The 18,676-nt window shown below is 34.5% G+C and overlaps 1 protein-coding gene across 18 annotated transcripts in view; it reads right to left on the minus strand.

The window, feature by feature from the left end:
* The window catches only part of IQCM (IQ motif containing M), a 464,135-nt gene that overhangs the window by 402,042 nt on the left and 43,417 nt on the right, over positions 1-18,676 (minus strand). Inside the window, exon 3 of one of the 18 annotated variants that reach the window (XM_017008901.3) lies at positions 13,999-14,081. The exons of the other annotated variants lie outside the window; for them this stretch is intronic. The gene's annotated coding sequence lies outside the window, so the exon portion shown is untranslated. The remainder of the gene's footprint in view (positions 1-13,998; positions 14,082-18,676) is intronic. 18 annotated transcript variants of the gene reach the window in all.

Below are 18,676 nucleotides of genomic sequence, written 5' to 3' on the forward strand. Positions count from 1 at the left end.
TGAGACCAAAAAAAAAAAGATATAAAGGAAAAACTGAAAGATTCCAACATGTGTATAAAGGAAGCTCAGGGGAGGGGGGTGGGAAATGGAGGAAAAACAATATTTGAAGTATCGTATAGAAAAATGACATCAATCTAGAGATTAAAAGTACATTCCAGATGCCAAGAAAGAATAAAAATAAATCCACACCCAGACACTTCCTAGTGAGTATCAGAAATGAAGAAAAAAAAAGAATCATCTAAGCTGATTATCTCCAATTTTTCTCTTCCCATTCTCTTTTGAACTGGCTCTCACCAGACTTTTGCCCTTGCTACTTTAAACTGCTTCTAGTGAACTCTGTGACTACTAAGAGCCCCCTAAAGAACTTATTACCCAGCTGCTAGCAATGCTACCAGATTATAGTCCACAGCTTTGCCCTTCAGAATTGCCCTGTCTGAGGAGTCACACAGTTACCTTACAGGGCAGTCCAATATCAGTGACTAGTCAACTAGGATTTATGCAGGCTCAGATAACTTGTCCCAACTCAGGACAACTCTGAAGGGTCAACTCAACATTAAAGCCCCTCCCCGCCCCGGGGAGTCTTCGCTAGACTGCATCACAGCTCAATTTCTCCCTCTGACAATTCCTGCTTTCTTCCCTTTCGAAATCCAGAGATGGCTATTTCAAGAGCACTAATTAACAAACATCTCTCTCATCCTCCATGTCAGAGGGTCTTTCTGGGGAATGCAACCTGCCATTCTTTGTCAAAGTCGCCAATAACTTTCATGCTGTTAAATCTAATTGTCAATCTTAGTCCTCATCTTAGCCGACCTGTTAACAGCATTTTATGTATTTTATCACTGTCTCCTTCTTGAAATATTTTCTTCATTTAGCTTCCAGGGATTTCCAGTGTCCTAGATTTTCTGTTACCTTCTCTTACTTCCTTCTCAGTCTCTTATGCTAGTTCCTCCTCATCTCACTGACCTCAGCATATTGGAATGTCCCAAGGCTCAGGCCTTGAATCTCTTTTCTACCACATACGTTTATTTTGTGATTTAGTCCTGGCTCATGGCTTTCAATACCATCTCTATATTGATAACTGGCAAATAGATATTTTTATCCTGGGCCTCTCCCCTTGTCTATCTCACATCTTCATTCGGATGTCACCAAACCATCTCAAATTTTACACATCAAAACTGAGTTCCTGATCCTATTCTGATGATTTCTCCCTCAGCAAATGACATCTCCACTCTTCCAGTTACTGAGGCCAGACAATCATCTTTGGCTCTTCTCTGTTTTGTACATTCTACGTCCTATTCATTAGCAAATCCTGTCAGCTCTACCTTCAAAATATATTCAGAAGCTGATAGCTTCGCAACACCTTTACTATTAACACTCTAGCTGAAACCACTATTCTCTCTTACCTGAATTATCAGAATAGCCTCCTAAGTGGCCTAGTTCTACTTCCTGCCCCTATCCATGACCTACTCCCAACCCAGCAACCAGAGTTATTCAAATAAAACATAGGTCAGACAACATCCTCCATTCAAAAGCTACTGATGCCTTCCAGTAACAATGGAGTAAATATAGAAGTCACCATGTCCCCACACACCCCTACATTATCTGTGGCTAGCTGACCTCATTTTCCCTCCAGCCCCTCAATCCCTCTCCTGGAGCCAAACAGCTTTCTTTCCCAGCTGCTCTGGTCAGACCAGGATTGCCCCCACCTGAAGATATTTGCATTTGCTACCTTATTTGCCTGAAATGTTCTTTTGTCAGATTCACAAGGTACCAACCCTTCACTTCTCCCAGGTGTATACTTAAACACACCTTCTCCATGAGGCCTTCACCAGCCACCCATTCACGATTGCAACCCTCCCTAAATCCCTCCTGATTTATTTTCTTCTTTACACTAATACTATTTAACATACAATATATAAAATACTCATTTATTATTCATCTCTACATGCAGAGACTGCTAGCTGATTCCCAAATGTATTTTCTCTTCCTCCTGGACCCATAGCTGGACTACTTTTTCCAGGTGCACTTGAAGTTGAAGTATGGCAAGTGACTTAGTTCTGGCCACAAGAAAAAATGTGGTCAAAATAAGTGCCCCTTGTAAGCCTGGTGCCTAAATACCCGCCATGCAATCCTCTATGCTCTTTCCCCTCCCTGCCTGCTAGAATGGAGGTGACTCTAGGACACCATTGGTACCAAAGTCCAAATGTAAAAGATAGCAGAGTCACATAGCAGAATAAGAAGGCTGGGTCTTTTAATAATTGTTTGGAGGAGAGCTGTCTAACTGGGACAGTTTGATGAATAAAAAATAAAATCTCAAGTAATCAAGCTACTGATAATTAGGAGTTTAATTTATTATAGCATCTAGCTTTATCTTAGCTTATATATTCACTCCCTAGACTGCAAGGTTAATGAATGCCAGGAATTTTTACTGCTTTGTTCACTGATGTATACCCCCCGCCGTGCCTACAACACTGACTGGAAATCAATAAATATTTGAAGAATAATGAATAAAAAACTTAAATTCTCACATAGAAAAAAGATAGGCTATCTAGAAAAGGATGGCAACTTTGATAAAAGAACTCTTGACAGCAATGATAATTAACAGAAGACAATGTTTTAAAACATCTGAGGGAAAATACAAATAAATATAAAATTCTAAATCAATCTAAACTGTCATGCAAAATTGAGAACAAAACAAAGACTTTCCAAAATACTAAGTCTAAGAAATCATACAACACACCCAAACATATAGATCCTCAAAAGTGCTACTAAAAAATAAGCTTCACAGGAAGAAGAAAATGAACCCAAAAGAATGAATGGAACACAAGAAAAAACAAGTAAGCCCAGAAATTAATATTTACAAATATGCTTATAAATATGTTTATGTTTATAAATTTAAACAGCTATTACTTACAAAAATTTAAAAGAGGCATCAGTGTGGATTTTTTCATGTAGAACTAAAATTTTAAACCCAACAATCAAGAAGGGGGAAAGAAGGCACAAAAAGGAGGAGTTAGTGGATTAACGGTTCTGGGTCCTTAGCTTGTTTAAGAAGAGGATAAATAGACTGAGCAACGTTTAAAGAAAAATTTGGAGACAAATGTTCCCATTGAAATATTAAAGGTAACATTTAATAGAATAGAAATATAATGTATAACTCCCAAACTACCAGATAAACCACACAGTAATTTTTGAAAATGTTATCAAGCTAAATAAGGCCATAGATGGCCGGGTGTGGTGGCTCACGCCTGTAATCCCAGCACTTTGGGAGGCCAAGGCGGGTGGATCACGAGGTCAGGAGATCCAGACCATCCTGGCTAACACAGTGAAACCCCATCTCTACTAAAAATACAAAAAATTAGCCGGGCATGGTGGCAGGCGCCTGTAGTCCCAGCTACTCAGGAGGCTGAGGCAGGAGAATGGCATGAACCCGGGAGGCAGAGCTCGCAGTGAGCCAAGATCCCACCACTGCACTCCAGCCCGGGCAACAAAGCGAGACTCGTCTCAAAAAAAAATAAGGCCAAATATGAGGAAAAAGAAAAAGAAAAGGAAAAAGGAAGATAAGCAGAAACCTAAATTAAGATATTAAAATAAATATAAATTAATAAGTACAAAAAAATAAACAGATTCTGTTCACATATCAATAGAGATTATCAAATAATACAAAGACAATTCAGCTCAGGTTGGCTATAAAAGCTATAGTTAAAACCAAAGAACATAGAAAGGGTGAAAATTCCCAAGAAAATAAATACCAAGAAATAATAACAAAAAAATTTGTAGCAATAATGTTATCAGATAAAATAGACATTAGATGAAAAATTATTAATAGGGATAAATAGGTATGCCAAATTATGATTAAGACAACAACGGGTCAAGAAGATGGGGTAAACATGAATTCATACGTACCTAACAAAATAGTTCCAAACTTTTTAGCACACACAAATTAGAAAGGATTTAGATCTAACATTAGATATATTCCTGATATTATATATGTGTGTGTGTGTGTGTGTGTGTGTATATTTCTGCAGAAAAAATACATATTCTTCTTAAGCACACGTGGGGCATTTACAAAAAGTGTCCATATTCTAAGTCACATGAAATGTCTCAATAAATGTTAAACATTTGAATACAATTGTTAAAAGTGAACAATAAAGATAGCTTATTAAAATATACTCCTGAATAACTCATTGATTAAACCATAGATCAATAGCCAACACAACATTGAAGAAGAACAAAGTTGGAAGACTAGCACTACTTCATTTCAAGTCTTAATATAAAGCTACAGTAATCAGGACAATGTGGTATTGGTAAAAGAATAGAAAAATAGATAAGTGGAACAGAATGGATAGCCCAGAAATAGTCTACATAAATATAGTCAGCTGACCTTTGACAAAGGAGCTTTTGTAGCAATAGTGTTATCAGATAAAATAGACATTAGATGAAAAATTATTAATAGGGATAAATAGGGATCTATGGACAAAAGACAGTCATTTCAACAAATGGTATGGAACAACTGGACATCCAGATGCAAAAACAAAGAATCTAAACACAAACCTTACACTCTTCTCAAAAACTAACTCAAAATGGATCACAAACCTAAATGTAAAATGCAAAACCATAAAACTCCTAGAAGACAACAGGAGAAAAATCTAGATAACTTGGTTTGGTGGTGACTTTTTAAAATATGACACCAAAGTTATTATTCATGAAAAAATAATTGATTTAAGCTATATTTTATTAAAATAAAAACTTCTGCTCTGTAAAAGACACTGTCTTGAGAATGAGAAGACAAGCCACAGACTGGGAGAAACTACTTGCAAAAGATATATCTGATACAGAACTGTTATTTAAAATATACAAAGAATTCTCAAAACTCAACAATAAGAAAACAATCTGACTTTTAAATGGGCCAAATATTTTAACAGACACCTCACCAAAGAATATAAATGAAAAGATGCTTTACATTATACATCATCAGGGAAATGCAAATTAAAACAATGAAATACCACTACACACTTATTAGAATGGCCAAAATCTAGAACACTGACCACATCAAATGCTGACAAGAGGCAGAGCAACAGGAACTCACTCATTGCTGGTGGGAATGCGAAATGATACAGCCACTCTGGAGGACAATTTGTCAGTTCCTTACAAAACTAAACATGCTTTGACCATGTAATCCAGCTATAGCACTCCTTAGTATTTCCTCAAAGAGTTTAAAACATGTCCACATAAAAGCCTGCATATGAATGTTCATAGTAGCTTTATTCATAATTGCTAAAACAGAAGCAACCACGATATCCTTCAGTAGAATGAATTATTACTCGGTGCTAAAAATAAATGAGCTATCCAGCCATGAAAAGACATGGAAGAAACTTAAATGCACACTACTGGGTGAAAGAAGCTAATCTGAAAAAGCTACATACTATATAATTTCAACTATATGATATTCTGGAAAAAGCATAACTATTCAGACAGTAAGCAGATCACTAGTTGCCAGGGGTAAAGGGAAGGGGAGAGATGAATTAATAGAGCACAGCGGATTTTTAGGGCAGTGAAATACACCACGTAACGGTGAATACATGTCATTATACATTTGTCCAAACCCATAGAATGTATAACACCAAGAGTGAACCCTCATGTAAACTATGGGTGTTGGGCAATAATAATGTGTCAATATAGGGTCATCAATTGTAACAAATATATCACTCTGGTGGGTGATGTCAATAATAGGGGAGACTATAGTATAGCCTCATGAAATAAACAGATCACATTCACTTATCAATAGAGATTATCAAATAATACAAATAAAATCCAGCACAAGTGAATTTAGGCAATATATAGGAAATCTCTATACTTTCCTCTTAATTTTACTGTAAAGCCAAAACTTCTCTTAAAAAATTAAATATCATTTTTTTAAAAAAGAATAGATCACAAGGGAAATTATGAAATATTTAAAATTGGGAGTAAACAGAAACACAATAAACCATACCTATGAAAAGCAAAGTAATATCAAGAAATAAGTTAATTGTCTTAAATATGTTTATTAAACCAAAATAAGCATTTAAACAAGCATTCAACTTTAACAGATACAAAGCAAAAAGTATATTAAATTCAAAGAAAATAGAAGAAAGAAATTTAAAGGAGTAAAAATGAATAGAAAACAACTGCAAAATATGGCACAACAGAGATTGTGAACAAAATCAAAACTAGTTCTTTGTAAATATTAACAAAATGTATAAACCTCTAGGTTCTAGACAGAAGGAAGGAAGGAAGGGAAGGGAAGGGAAGGAGGGAGGGACGGAGGAATATTAGGAAAAATGGCAAGGCTGAAGATGATGGGGAGAGAAGTCTAGATTTTGTTAGGGTACTGGGTGGACAAAATAGGCCCAGTTAAAGGACAGCAAGGAAGGCCCAAACATTCAAGAGCAGCACAAAGGCAATGGGTCTTACATCGAAGAAGAAATAATAGATAATAAGGAAAAAAGACCACAAAGAAGAGCATGAAATATACCAACAAGAAAGCCAAGTGAAGAGTGGCATAAGTTAACCATAAGCTAGCTCTTCAAGTATTTTCTTTCTAAGTAAAGCTGGCATTACAAAAAATAAAAGCAATTTAGAATAAAATGACTTTATTAAGAACTATTTATACAAGATGAAAATAGTACAGCAGAAGGTTGAAAGTGAACTTAATTGTCCTTTTATACATCTGAATAGCTCATTAACAGAAATCAAGGTAGTCATTAAGAAAGCACAGCCAATCTTCCTCCAGAGAAGGATCCCTAATCCAACTACTCACTAAGGGTCTGGTTTCAGATTTCATGTGCTGGAAAATGCCTTTTAGGCCAGAAATAATGATTATTTTATTTAATTTTTATTAAAATATACAAATAAAAACTACCAATGAACTCAGTGTTATATTCATGTTTATATATATATTCATTTACTTATATTTGACATTTTTCTGAGATACATCAGAACAGAGTATATAAAATTACAAAGTCAGTCAAAAAATATTAAAACCAGATTTGGCCTAGATATTCTCTTCTTAGTATTTACTCTTAGTATTTACTCAAAGAGTTTAAATAATATTTAAATAAATACTCTTAGTACCTACTCAAAGAGATATTCTTTCCCTACACAGGACTCCCATATTATGCCCAAAGTCTTTTGTATTTTAACAAAGGAAATGTATCAAGGCATTGATCACTTGCTTTTAGAGAATATGTCAAAGAAAATATCAGGTATTAGAGGACAGAGAATTTTGTAAAACAAACTTTCCTGGTATTTCTAAAATCACAATATAAAGGGGGGACCACTACTATTCTGCCAATTACTTGGGCTAACAATACCTTTGATACATACGCCAGCACGTGAAACTAAATAAGTGTTTAGAGCCAAATAAATGATATAAAATCTAGCTTTCCTTCACATATAACCTTATTACTAAATACTTAAAAAATCATAAAAATCCCCTTAATCGTGGATCTATTTATGGATCTCTTTTTATCAAAGTACCAGTGTTTATAAATAATCTAATAATAAATAATCCAAAGCCACATGTCCAGCTCAAAGTCCCCATGTCCTTACTGATGCTCAATAAGTTTGGGCAAAGGTGAACTCATTTCCTATTCCCAACACTACTACCACCCTGTGCTTTCCTCCTTCCTTAGTTTTGCTCATGCTGCTTTCTCCAATATTGATTTTCTTTAGAGGAACATACTGAATGCCTCCTCCACAAAATTTTCTCCTTTTGCTCCTCCTCATCAGAAGTCTTTCTTCTCCTGTAAGAATCCCACAGCACTTACACTATCTATCCTTTATAATACTTGTCCTTTTAAATCTTGTAGTATGGTTATTTGTGTGCACATGTTATATCCCCCACTATACTTACAAGAGTCTTAAGGATAATATTTCTGTCTGAATTATAATATCCCTCATAGTTCCTACGAAGAGTCTCTAATACAAGTGTTCAAAACTATTTGCAAAACAATTGATATAGCAATAAATTGCAGTGATTTTGTTAGTAGTACAAAGAGCTAGTTCCTTAGAAATATATGTGCCAAAACTATATTTAGCTACTGACTTCTTGTATGATATGATTTATTTTCTGGGACCTTAATTTCTCAAATATGTATAGCATTAATTAAGAGCAGTAAAAACTTTTTAACTTATAAAATTTATGAAAAGAGTTATATGATACACAAAGTAAAAATTAAGGTCTTTAGAAATTAATGTAGGTGTTACTGTAAGTATCCTCCAAAAAAATCAACCTGCTAGCTTATCATAAAGAACTGAAGAATTTATCTCCATTGACAAGGCTTAATCATCAATTAGGACAATATCTCTAGGTAAGGGGGTACTTTAAGAATGTGTGAGACACAAGAGGTCATAATTTTTAAAAATTTAATAATTAAAGGTGCAAGCTTCCCAAAATAATTTTCATGATTAAAGGATAAAAGATCTAGGCATGCTCAGTGATGAAAAAAAAAAAGAAATGACTGAGGAGGCAGTATTATATCTGTCACGGGTAGGGAGGACAGGCCTCAAAAAACCATTAGGGTAGCCAAATAAGAAATGATAAAGTTAAGATACAGTAAAACAAGTTTAAGCAAAATATTAAGAAAAACTGCATGGTGAATCTTTAAAATTGTATCTAAAAGCTTGAAAAATGTGACAGGGGAAATTCTTTATTGGTAGGGAAAATAGAGGGATATGCAAGTTTTAAAGTAATGAACAGAACAAGATCACATTAGGAGAGCAGGCCCTTACTTACAAAGACATGTGCATTGAACATAAAGGTTGCAGTATTTCTATATTAAAAAGGCATTGTGATCTCCTAGGCTCTGCTCATCTCTCCTCTCTATAAGACAATCAATGCCAGGAGCGAAATTATATTTAATTTCTTTGTTATTTAATAAATTTTGGGTGGAGTTCCACATGAGGGATTTGAAAAAATAATTTCTAGTTCAGATTAATTTATTAAAAGCCTATTCAATTGTAAGTCAGGGGATAAGGTTCTCCACAGACCTCTATAACATTTAACAAACAAATTGCTTAATACTTTATTTGAATCACCTTTCCTAATTACTCTTATAAGGAGTTCTCAGAGATGTTAATCTGTTGCCACATAGCAATTTTTAGTAGCAGCTTCATAAACGTGTTAAATTTAAATACATATTTACATGAGGTGCACACATCCTCATGTAAATATGTATTGAGAATTGTATGTATTACAACCAGTTCCATGCTCCTATAACTTCATACTCCACAAGAAGTTAAATTCAAAAGGCTATGGCGTGCATTCAATTAGTCACATTAAAATCTAATTAAATTTAATCTAATATTGGCCTTCATCCTGAAAATATTATGGCTTTGTATTTGTACGGAACTCATCATCATCATCACGGTCGTCACCAGGAAGCAATAATGTGGACAGCATATTATACCAACTAGTGTACAGTATAGCATGATTTATATGACATCAGGAAGAACAAACAAAAAAAGCCTAGTTTGTATCCTAAACTATTAGTTGGAAAGATGGACAAGCAGATCCCAAATCCAGATATGGTGAAATAAACATTTGCAGTCATCACAGAGTATTATTTTTTTGCATGTTGAATTGAGGATATACACAAAAATCCATGCAAAAGATGGGACTTTAAAGAGGTTTCTAGAGGAGAAAAAGAGGCTTAGAAAAGCACAATGAGTGGAGGAGCTCCTCTCCTAAACTAGAACATCAGAGGGAATCTCACAAAAGGCTGTAAATTAGGATAAACTGGTATGTGAAGCCCCCAGAGTATGACTGTTACTACGCTAAACCCTTTAATACATTATATTATTGAAAAGCTACATTTAATAATAATTGCTCCACATTTAGTACAGATAATTTCAATTTCTTAGCTAGAGACACTGGGGTTTGGGGAGAGCCAGTGATCTGCTCAAGGCGGAAGAGCTACAGTGGCAGAGCCAGGATTCAATCCAGACTCCTCTGACTCCAAAACTCAAGCTCTTAATCTTTGGGCATGCTGCTTTTCACTATGAAATGAATGAAGAGAAAGTCCTGCAAAAAGATGCAATACCTGAAGAACAGGGAACTTTTTTTTTTAATCTGCAGGAATCTCTGTAATGAGGAGGAAGATGTTGGAACAGAAAACACTTGGTGATCTTGGTGTTAGAGCTGAGCAAAGTGCCCTATTTGCCAGAGAAAAGATGCATTTAAAAAAAACAAAATAAATAAAAAATAAAAAATCCTCAAATTACCTTGTGAACAAAAGTGCTGGAATCAAGTACTTGAATCACAAGGCAAATTTGGATTTCAGTGAGGATGCTCTTATACCTTGTTGGGGCACAACAACAAATTGCCACAAAAACTGGTGCTTGGATATGCTGAGAGATCTTAGAACCTGAATCAGATTCGAGGTCCGTCTAACCTTGTCTTATTTCACCCCCAAGCACTGGGAGAGAATCTCTTTGGAATTTCCTTATCTGACCAAGAAAACATCTTTCCAAAGAAATGCAATTGTCTTAAACCCCCTCCCTAGGGATCTCATCAAATAACCAGGAAAGACCAATCACTGCATAAGAGAAGAGACTGACAAGTCCTCACTAGCCTGGACAGACTTTTCATCTATTCTTCTGAGAGCAGCTACAAGAGATTTCCTGAGGGACTTAGTATGCATAATGAGACAACTTTTGTCGCTGTGCAGCTCCCTGCTCACCTTCACATAATGTCTGCCTCCCGCCTCCCAGGCCCATACATCTCTCTCTTGTGAAGAGAGTATTTAAGCATCACCGTCTGGCCCCTCTTTAAGTTCACATTTTGTATGACTCCCCTGCATATGTGTGCACATCAACAAATGTTGAATGCCTTTTCTCCTTTTAATTTGCCTTTTGTCAGTTGATTTTCAGCAAACTTTCAGAGGACAAAGGGAAAGTTTCCCCTGCCTTTCTACAACTCTCTAGTGCAGGAACAGGTACTAGAGACCTCATAGCTGGATAGAAAAGCTTGACATACTGCAAATCCTACATTTCCCTAACAAAAATGACAAGTCGCAAGCTATATATCTCTGGTCAGGTATGGTATGGGTTATTGAACAAAAATGATTTACTAAGGTTTTACTACTTCAACCATAGCTCAAACTCAATAGCAGCATTGCTTTAACATTTGCTTCTGAATGTTACAGAAATCAGGAAAGAACAGGAAAGGGGTCTCAGGTGATATTTGGGTCTGCCACTAACCTAGAAAATGATAAAGAGGAGAAGAGTTGACAGCGCTAGACATAGAAAAAAATGTTTCTTCCATCAAACCAGTTCAAAATCACTTTAAACATAGAAAAATTACCAAAAAAAATTTCTTTATGAACTATCCTTGAAAAATTTAGAATGTGACACATTTAGCTACACTAATGCATCTTATGTACTAGCTAATGCTGGGATCAGGGAAACCAAAAAACAAGGTCAGAGTCTGTCTGGAACAGTCTTCACCTAGATGAGGTGACCTCAAGGAGCAATAAAGGTGGCATTATTATGAAGTATGAGACAGACATTGGCCAAGATAAAAATATGTGTGAGAATATTAGAAATATATCAAAGATGAAGTAATTTCGAAGAGAAAAAAGATAAGAATCTCTGTGCTTATGAAATCATCTTTGCAAAAATTATGACACTGAGAGAAATCTAACATAACTGACTCCATTTTGCTTCCAACCTCACAAGCTAACTGTCCTGGGTGGAGGTCAAGCTAACAGAAATTATAGTTTCACTTTAAAGCAAGGATGATAATAGTCCCTTCCCAAAACTAAGTCCCTTCTGGTTGGGGACTGAAAACTGCCCTTGTAAAATTAATGAAAGACCACAGGGTTAGGATTATGGGAGGGGCCTGAATTCTGCTAAAATGTTAGTGTAGCTAAATGATAACCAGTTATTTTATCCTAGCTTGCTTTTCTATAATTTCTTACTTCTCAGGAGTCATGTAACCAGAGGTCACAAGATTTGTGACTTCCCCATTTGCTCCTATAGATAACATCACTATCTTGGTCTTTGAGTTATTTTTCAGACTTTTGCATTCTAGCAACGGACTGAAACCACCCAGATCCATGACTCATACCAAGGAACTGATTCAACCAGTCCAGTGGCCCCTACCCAGAAACTGACTCGCACCCAAGAAATTTTTTGACCAAGATCCATGGTTTCATCCCCAACCAATTAGCAGCACCCATTTCCTAGCCCCCTGCCCGCCAAATTATCCTTAAAAATCCTAGCCTCTGAGTTCTCAGGGAGGTGAATTTGAGAAATATCTCCCATTCTTCAACTCAGCTGCCTTGCAATGAATAAACTCTCTCTGTACTGCAACACCACTGTCTCTGTGTATTGGCTTTTCTGTGCAGCAGGCAAGAAGAACCCACTGGGCTGTAACACTTATTGCTGTCAAATTATGCCCCATCTACAGACAAAATGGACTCCCTGTGGCTAACTGAGATGCTCAAGTTAAAGCAAAACTTGGCAGCCATAGTAGGATGAAGGGGCAGTCACATACTCTGTGTTCTTGGAAAATGTTGCAAAAAAATATTATGACTTCCCTTTCTGCAATCAAGCTAAACCAGTTCCTGTTATTGATGCCTATGGATGCCAAAATAGACTGCTGCTAAAAATTTCCCAATTGACCACTTGGAATTAACCAATAGAGACTTGTCGTTTCAGGCTTAAAGGTGGTCCAAGCAAGGCTCTGTTCCTGGCTCCCCAGATACCCCTCCCTTGCATTTCAGTTCTTGCCTTTATAATCTCTAACTCTCCAGTCCTTCCTCAGAGTGTAGTTTTGTATTGTCCCAAAGGCTGGGTCTACCCAATATAGAGATTACTATCAGAAAATAAAGCCCATTTTATTGTCCCCACAGGTCGTATGGTCTTTTGTTAACATTTCTATTATTGTATTTCTATTACTTGCTAACAAATGACCCAACTGTTACTATTTTGCAATCATTACTCCATAACGGGAAGAATTATTATGAATAAATCTTAGTATAGAAAAGAGGGTTGACGAAAATAGAAAATTTGGTGGATTCCTATAGGTACAGGATTTGGCTCTCAGGCTTTCAGGTTAAAAACATCATTGCATATAACTTTCTGATGTTTAAATTCAGTGTTACTACTGCTACTCTTTTCACATTAATGGAAAGTAAACCTAATAGTAGTAATCATATTTTTTCCTTACTTAGGGCTAACTGAAATATCTTTACCTAATGATATCACTAACAAAAACAAATATTAGATTTTAAAATAATATGTTTAAAAGGATCATATTTTATAAAAAGTACAAATGAAATTGTGATGCAATTTCATCTTTTTTCTTTTCTAATTTTTCTAAAAACAACTTGCATTACTCATATAATTTTTAAAAGAGAGAATAGAAAGAGGTAAAATCTAATGAAATGATTTTCATTAACCAAAATTATCTATCACTAAAATGGCCATTTATTTATTTCTTAAAGTAACTATCATGAAGATCTTCATGAAGACACGTGACGCTCAGATATTACAATAAAAGGGTATTAAGCTGGGTGCCATCTTGCCTGAGAAAACTTGATACACACAAGTTTTGTGTATCAAAGAGAATGCTTACTCTACAACTGGTTTTTCAACAGTTCATGAAAGATTATTACCTGTATTTGTTTCAACATATGTTCACAATATGTAATTTTTATTTCACTATATTTAATTATATTTTAATTTGGTTCATTCTTGCTGTCATATTCAGCTCCTGCAGTTTCAAAATTACACTAGACGAGAGATGGCTTTAAATAGCAAATCCCATCCATGCATGGTGCTAACATCAGTATTGGAGGATAATATTTCCTGAACTGGACCCCAGTTTCTAGGATGCATCTTGTTTGAAGGCCTATGGTCTTCCCTCACTGATTATGTTGGTGAGTAAAAGTTTCAGTATGGTAACTGCACTTTTTCATTGTATTAAATGGTTTGTTGAGCTGTGTTTATTACCTTTGCTGATCATCACTCTTATCATTAACATGACAAGTTAAAATGATTTTTGAATAATTGCAATCCCTATGCGTAAATATTTCCTGAAAAATACAAAGAGAATAAATACGACTGTAGAGGAACTATAGACACATTTTTAAGTGATAACATAAAATGGACTTTTATAAATATAAATACACTAAGAATATCTGTTTTATGGTTTACAGTATTTACTATTTTTAACTTACATAGCTGGCCTAATTTTAGTTATATGGGCCTAGAAAAAAATTCATGTGAAATGAATGTGATAATCAGTTCCACGTCTCACGTAACTCACAGCCCTGATGTAACTAATTTTATCACCAAAGTTCCTAAAATAATAATTAAACTGGAGATGAGGTTCTGTTCACAAGTCTTGCATTTGGCTTTAAATTAAATATTTTATAAAAACATGAAGCGATGGTTAGATTAAATTGTTAGTAATCATGCCTTCAGCAAAGACATAATTTCAAAATCCTTCTGAAATTTGGACATTGGATTAACTGCAATACCAGCCAGCGTATAACTTTGCCCACATCACACAATCTGCTGATAATAAAACCAGAGTTAGAATTCGAAAATTTTACTTTCTAGGTAGATCACTTATAATGAACCATCCAATTTTCTATCCTGTCATTGGATTATGGATAAGTACAATAAATTTCATAGATAACCAACAGTTAACATAAAAAATTAAGTAGAGACATTATGCCAAATATTATTACATTGCTTTAAAAGTTTTTGGACAAGTGCATTTTAAAGTTAAAATAAAATCTTACATGGATCAATTTTCTGAACAGCCTACACACAACCCTTAGGAACTTGAACTTTTGCTGCCAAGAGTTCCAGCATGCAGAATTCAGCCTGTGACATTTTTCATGTAATGGGATTATCCCACTATTTCCCCCACCCCTAATCAGGGTAAGGTTACTCAACAACAGGAGCACTTAAACAGAGACCAAAGATCATTAGGGAAAATACTCTGAGACACGGCAACTGAATCACATAATTATCAAAGGTTTAGGATATGTGAATCCGCTGTCATATTACTTGGCACCAAGAGTTATGAACAAAAAAGCTGACAAACTTGAGTTTTTTGGGCACTTTATGTAACTCGTTAACCAGGACAATTGAATTCTTTGTGGCATACTAAATTTATTAAAAATATACTTATGGACATTTAAGCTATCTGAGGTAATACATTTAGATCAAGTACTTTAGAAGAAATATTAAAATCTCTGCAGATCATAGAGTGAAATATCCAAATAATCTTTCATTATATAGGATTCACTGTTTTTGTATTTAACAATTCATAGATATAAAAAATTATTATTATAAGTATCACTATGGCATTAGAACTTTCCTAAACTACAGATTCTATCTCATTAAATATTCATGCACGCCAGGTTTTCATACTTGGTCCTCTCATTCTGAAGAGTTTTATTAGGGAAACTCTTCCATACCCATGAATTCAAGTCCTCCTGAACACGTAGTTCTGAGATCCAGAACCATATATTCAACTGCCTGCTGGACATATCCGCCCCCAAGGTAGTCCATCAGGAATTGCTAACTCAAATTGACCACACAAAATCCAACAACCCTTTATATCCAAAATGAGCCCTTCTCTACATCTTCACAAATAAAACTACCTACCATTCTGACTCAGCATGTTAATGGGGCACACATAGGGGAGCGAAGATACAGTCCAAGTCCCTCAAAAGTGCAAAATGATATCAAAGATCCACCCACATAAAACCTAGAGCCCCAAAATGTACAATGCTCTATAGCTAAAAAAAAAAAAAGTTTAAAAGTAAAAGGATAGAAAAGGTAGACCACGCCACAGTAATCAAAATAAAAAAATGGAGTAGCTATATTAATATTAAAGTATATTTCGAGCAAAGAATATTGCCAGGGATAAAAAAAAACTTCATAATAATAAAGGGGTCAATTGTATAAGAGGACATAACAATCCTATTGTGCTTAGGTTTATGCACCTAATAACAGAGCTTGAAACTACATAAAGTAAAAACCTAATAAAACTGCAAAGAGAAATACGCAAATCTACAATTATGGTTGGAAAGTTGAATATTTCTTTGTAATTGATAGAAAAATAGATAATTGGCAACAATGCAGGAGAGTTAACACTATCAAGCAACTTGACATAACTGGCATTTATAGAATAAAAAGAATAGCAAATTAAACCTCAAGTAAGCACAGTAAATAAATAGCAGAGCAGAAATCAACAAAAAAGAAAAAAAATAGAAAATATTAATAAACTCCAAAGCTCATTCTTTAGAAAATCAATAAAGCTGATAAACTGCTAGCCAGACTCATGGAGAAAAACTGGGTGAAGACACAATAAAAAAAGGGGGCATTGCTACAGATTCTACAGAAAGTTAAATAAGTGTATTTTATCAATAACTTTATGTCAAAAAAATTCAACAACTTAAGTAAAATGGTATTCTAAAAGATACCAACTACCAAAGTTCACTCAAGAAGAAACAGATAACCTGCTTATTTTTAAAATTGACTGGATAGCTTTTTCACAAACAAAGCTCCTGGCCCAGATGGCTTCACTGGTGAACTCTACCAAGATTTTAAGAAAGTTGTAATATCAATTCTACACAGCTCTCCAGAAAATTGGAAAGGACAAAAATACTTTTCAACTTCTTCTGTGAGGCAAGTATTAAGGCAAAACCAGAGATACATTACAAGAAAAATAAAACAAAACCTATGGACGATATCCTTTATGAACATAGATGCAAAATAAAATTAGTAAATAAAATTTGGTAATCTGTAAGAAGAATAACACATCATAACAAAGTTCATCCCATAATGCAAATTGTCTTAACAATAAAATATAATGAATGTAATTCACCATATTAACAAACTAAATGAGAAAACCCACATAATCATCTCAGTAGATTTAGGGAAAAACAAGTTTGACAAAATTCAATATTCATTCTTCATTTTAAAGTAACTTTCAGCAAGCCATGAATAGAATTTTCTGAACTGGATAAAGAGCACCTATGAAAAACCTACAGCTAGTATCATACTTAAATTAACAGTGTAAGACTGAACAATTTTCCCCCTAGGGTCAGGAACGACACAAAGATGTCTATTCTCAATACCTCTTCTATAGTATTGTACAGAAGGTTCTAATCAGTACAATAGGCAAAGAAAATGAAACGAAAGACATCTGGACTGGCAAGGAAGGAAAATTGTCTTTATATGTCCAGTGCTCATTCTATCATACCTCTAACTTCATGATTTATATTTTCCATCTCTTTATATGTCCTAAATAGTAAAAGAAATCTACAATTAAAATTACAGCAAGAATGTTTATTAGCAGTTATATATTTTCTATAAAGAACACAATTTTATTTTTCAGACAGATAACCCAAGGAAACTGTTATCTATGAAACAGAATATCATTGCCTGCCAAGAACCCTCTTAGCAACCCCTTTTAAATCTACTGTTTTTAAAAATGTCCTACTAAATTTTTGTCTTCGAATTGTCATCTAACTATCTGCCCCTGTCAAGCACAATGCCTTATCACAAGTTCCAAGTCATATATAGGCAAAAGAATAAAAGCTAAAGACAAAGACGGCCTTAAAATAGTTGTGTCACGCTTAAATGTCATATTGTCTCTTAAAAAATCCTCATATTACAAGTTCATTAATTTATTCACTTAGATTATGAAAGTTATCTCTTCAAAATATCCCATTGTAGAGTAAAATCCTTTTCTCATTCTATCTGGGAAAGACTTAAAAGACTAATAAAGTTCTTTCTTCCACATCTTTACTTCTTGGTTGGTTACTTGGTTCAGGCTTCCTCTTTATAGTAATGCTTTGAAATGTGTTATGTTCAGATCGATTTTATAATTTTATAGTGAGATTACATTGTATATCCTAAGTTTGTGTGTGTGTCTGTACTTGTTATTTCTAACACTCCATGTGTCTTTACATTCATTCATAAACAGATTCTGATGAATAAGAAAGCATAAATTCTTGTGCTGATAATGAATTATCATGACAATATGCTTTTACTATCTTTATTAAAATAGATCATACTAACAGATGTATTTTTTAATCCTACTAAGGGGTAAACATTGGAAGACTTTTAACTTAAAAGAAAAATAATTCTATTTTCTTTTAGTAGGATGACCCTATGTCCCATTTCAATCAGTTAAATCTTTGCACCTATTATCCTAGTTCTGTCCAGGTTAGCATTTGTTCTGGTAAAAATGTCCTGGCTGAAATGATCAACAACATGGTCACCTTGCCTTTTAGAGAGGTAACTCTGAGCCTCAGGAAATGTTCATATCTTTTGATCAATTAATCCTTCAAGAAATTTCTGCAAATAAAATAATTACAAATGCAGAGATACACATTTGTATAAAAATATGTCCATTATGAGATTATTTATAATTCAATGTAAACACAGTAGTAAACAATGTAAACAGAACCACTAATAGTTCATAAATAAATGGAATATTACACATAACTTACACATTATGGTTTTTCAAATGTTCAATTAATAAGAAATGCTCAAAATGTAATTTTGATAGAAAAATAAAGTACAAAATGTGTATATAGTATAATCTCTACTCTGTTATATATATTTCATGCATAAATACATACACGCACCCCCCATTCAG

This window comes from Homo sapiens, chromosome 4 (genome assembly GCF_000001405.40).
Source record: "Homo sapiens chromosome 4, GRCh38.p14 Primary Assembly".
NCBI lineage: Eukaryota > Metazoa > Chordata > Mammalia > Primates > Hominidae > Homo > Homo sapiens.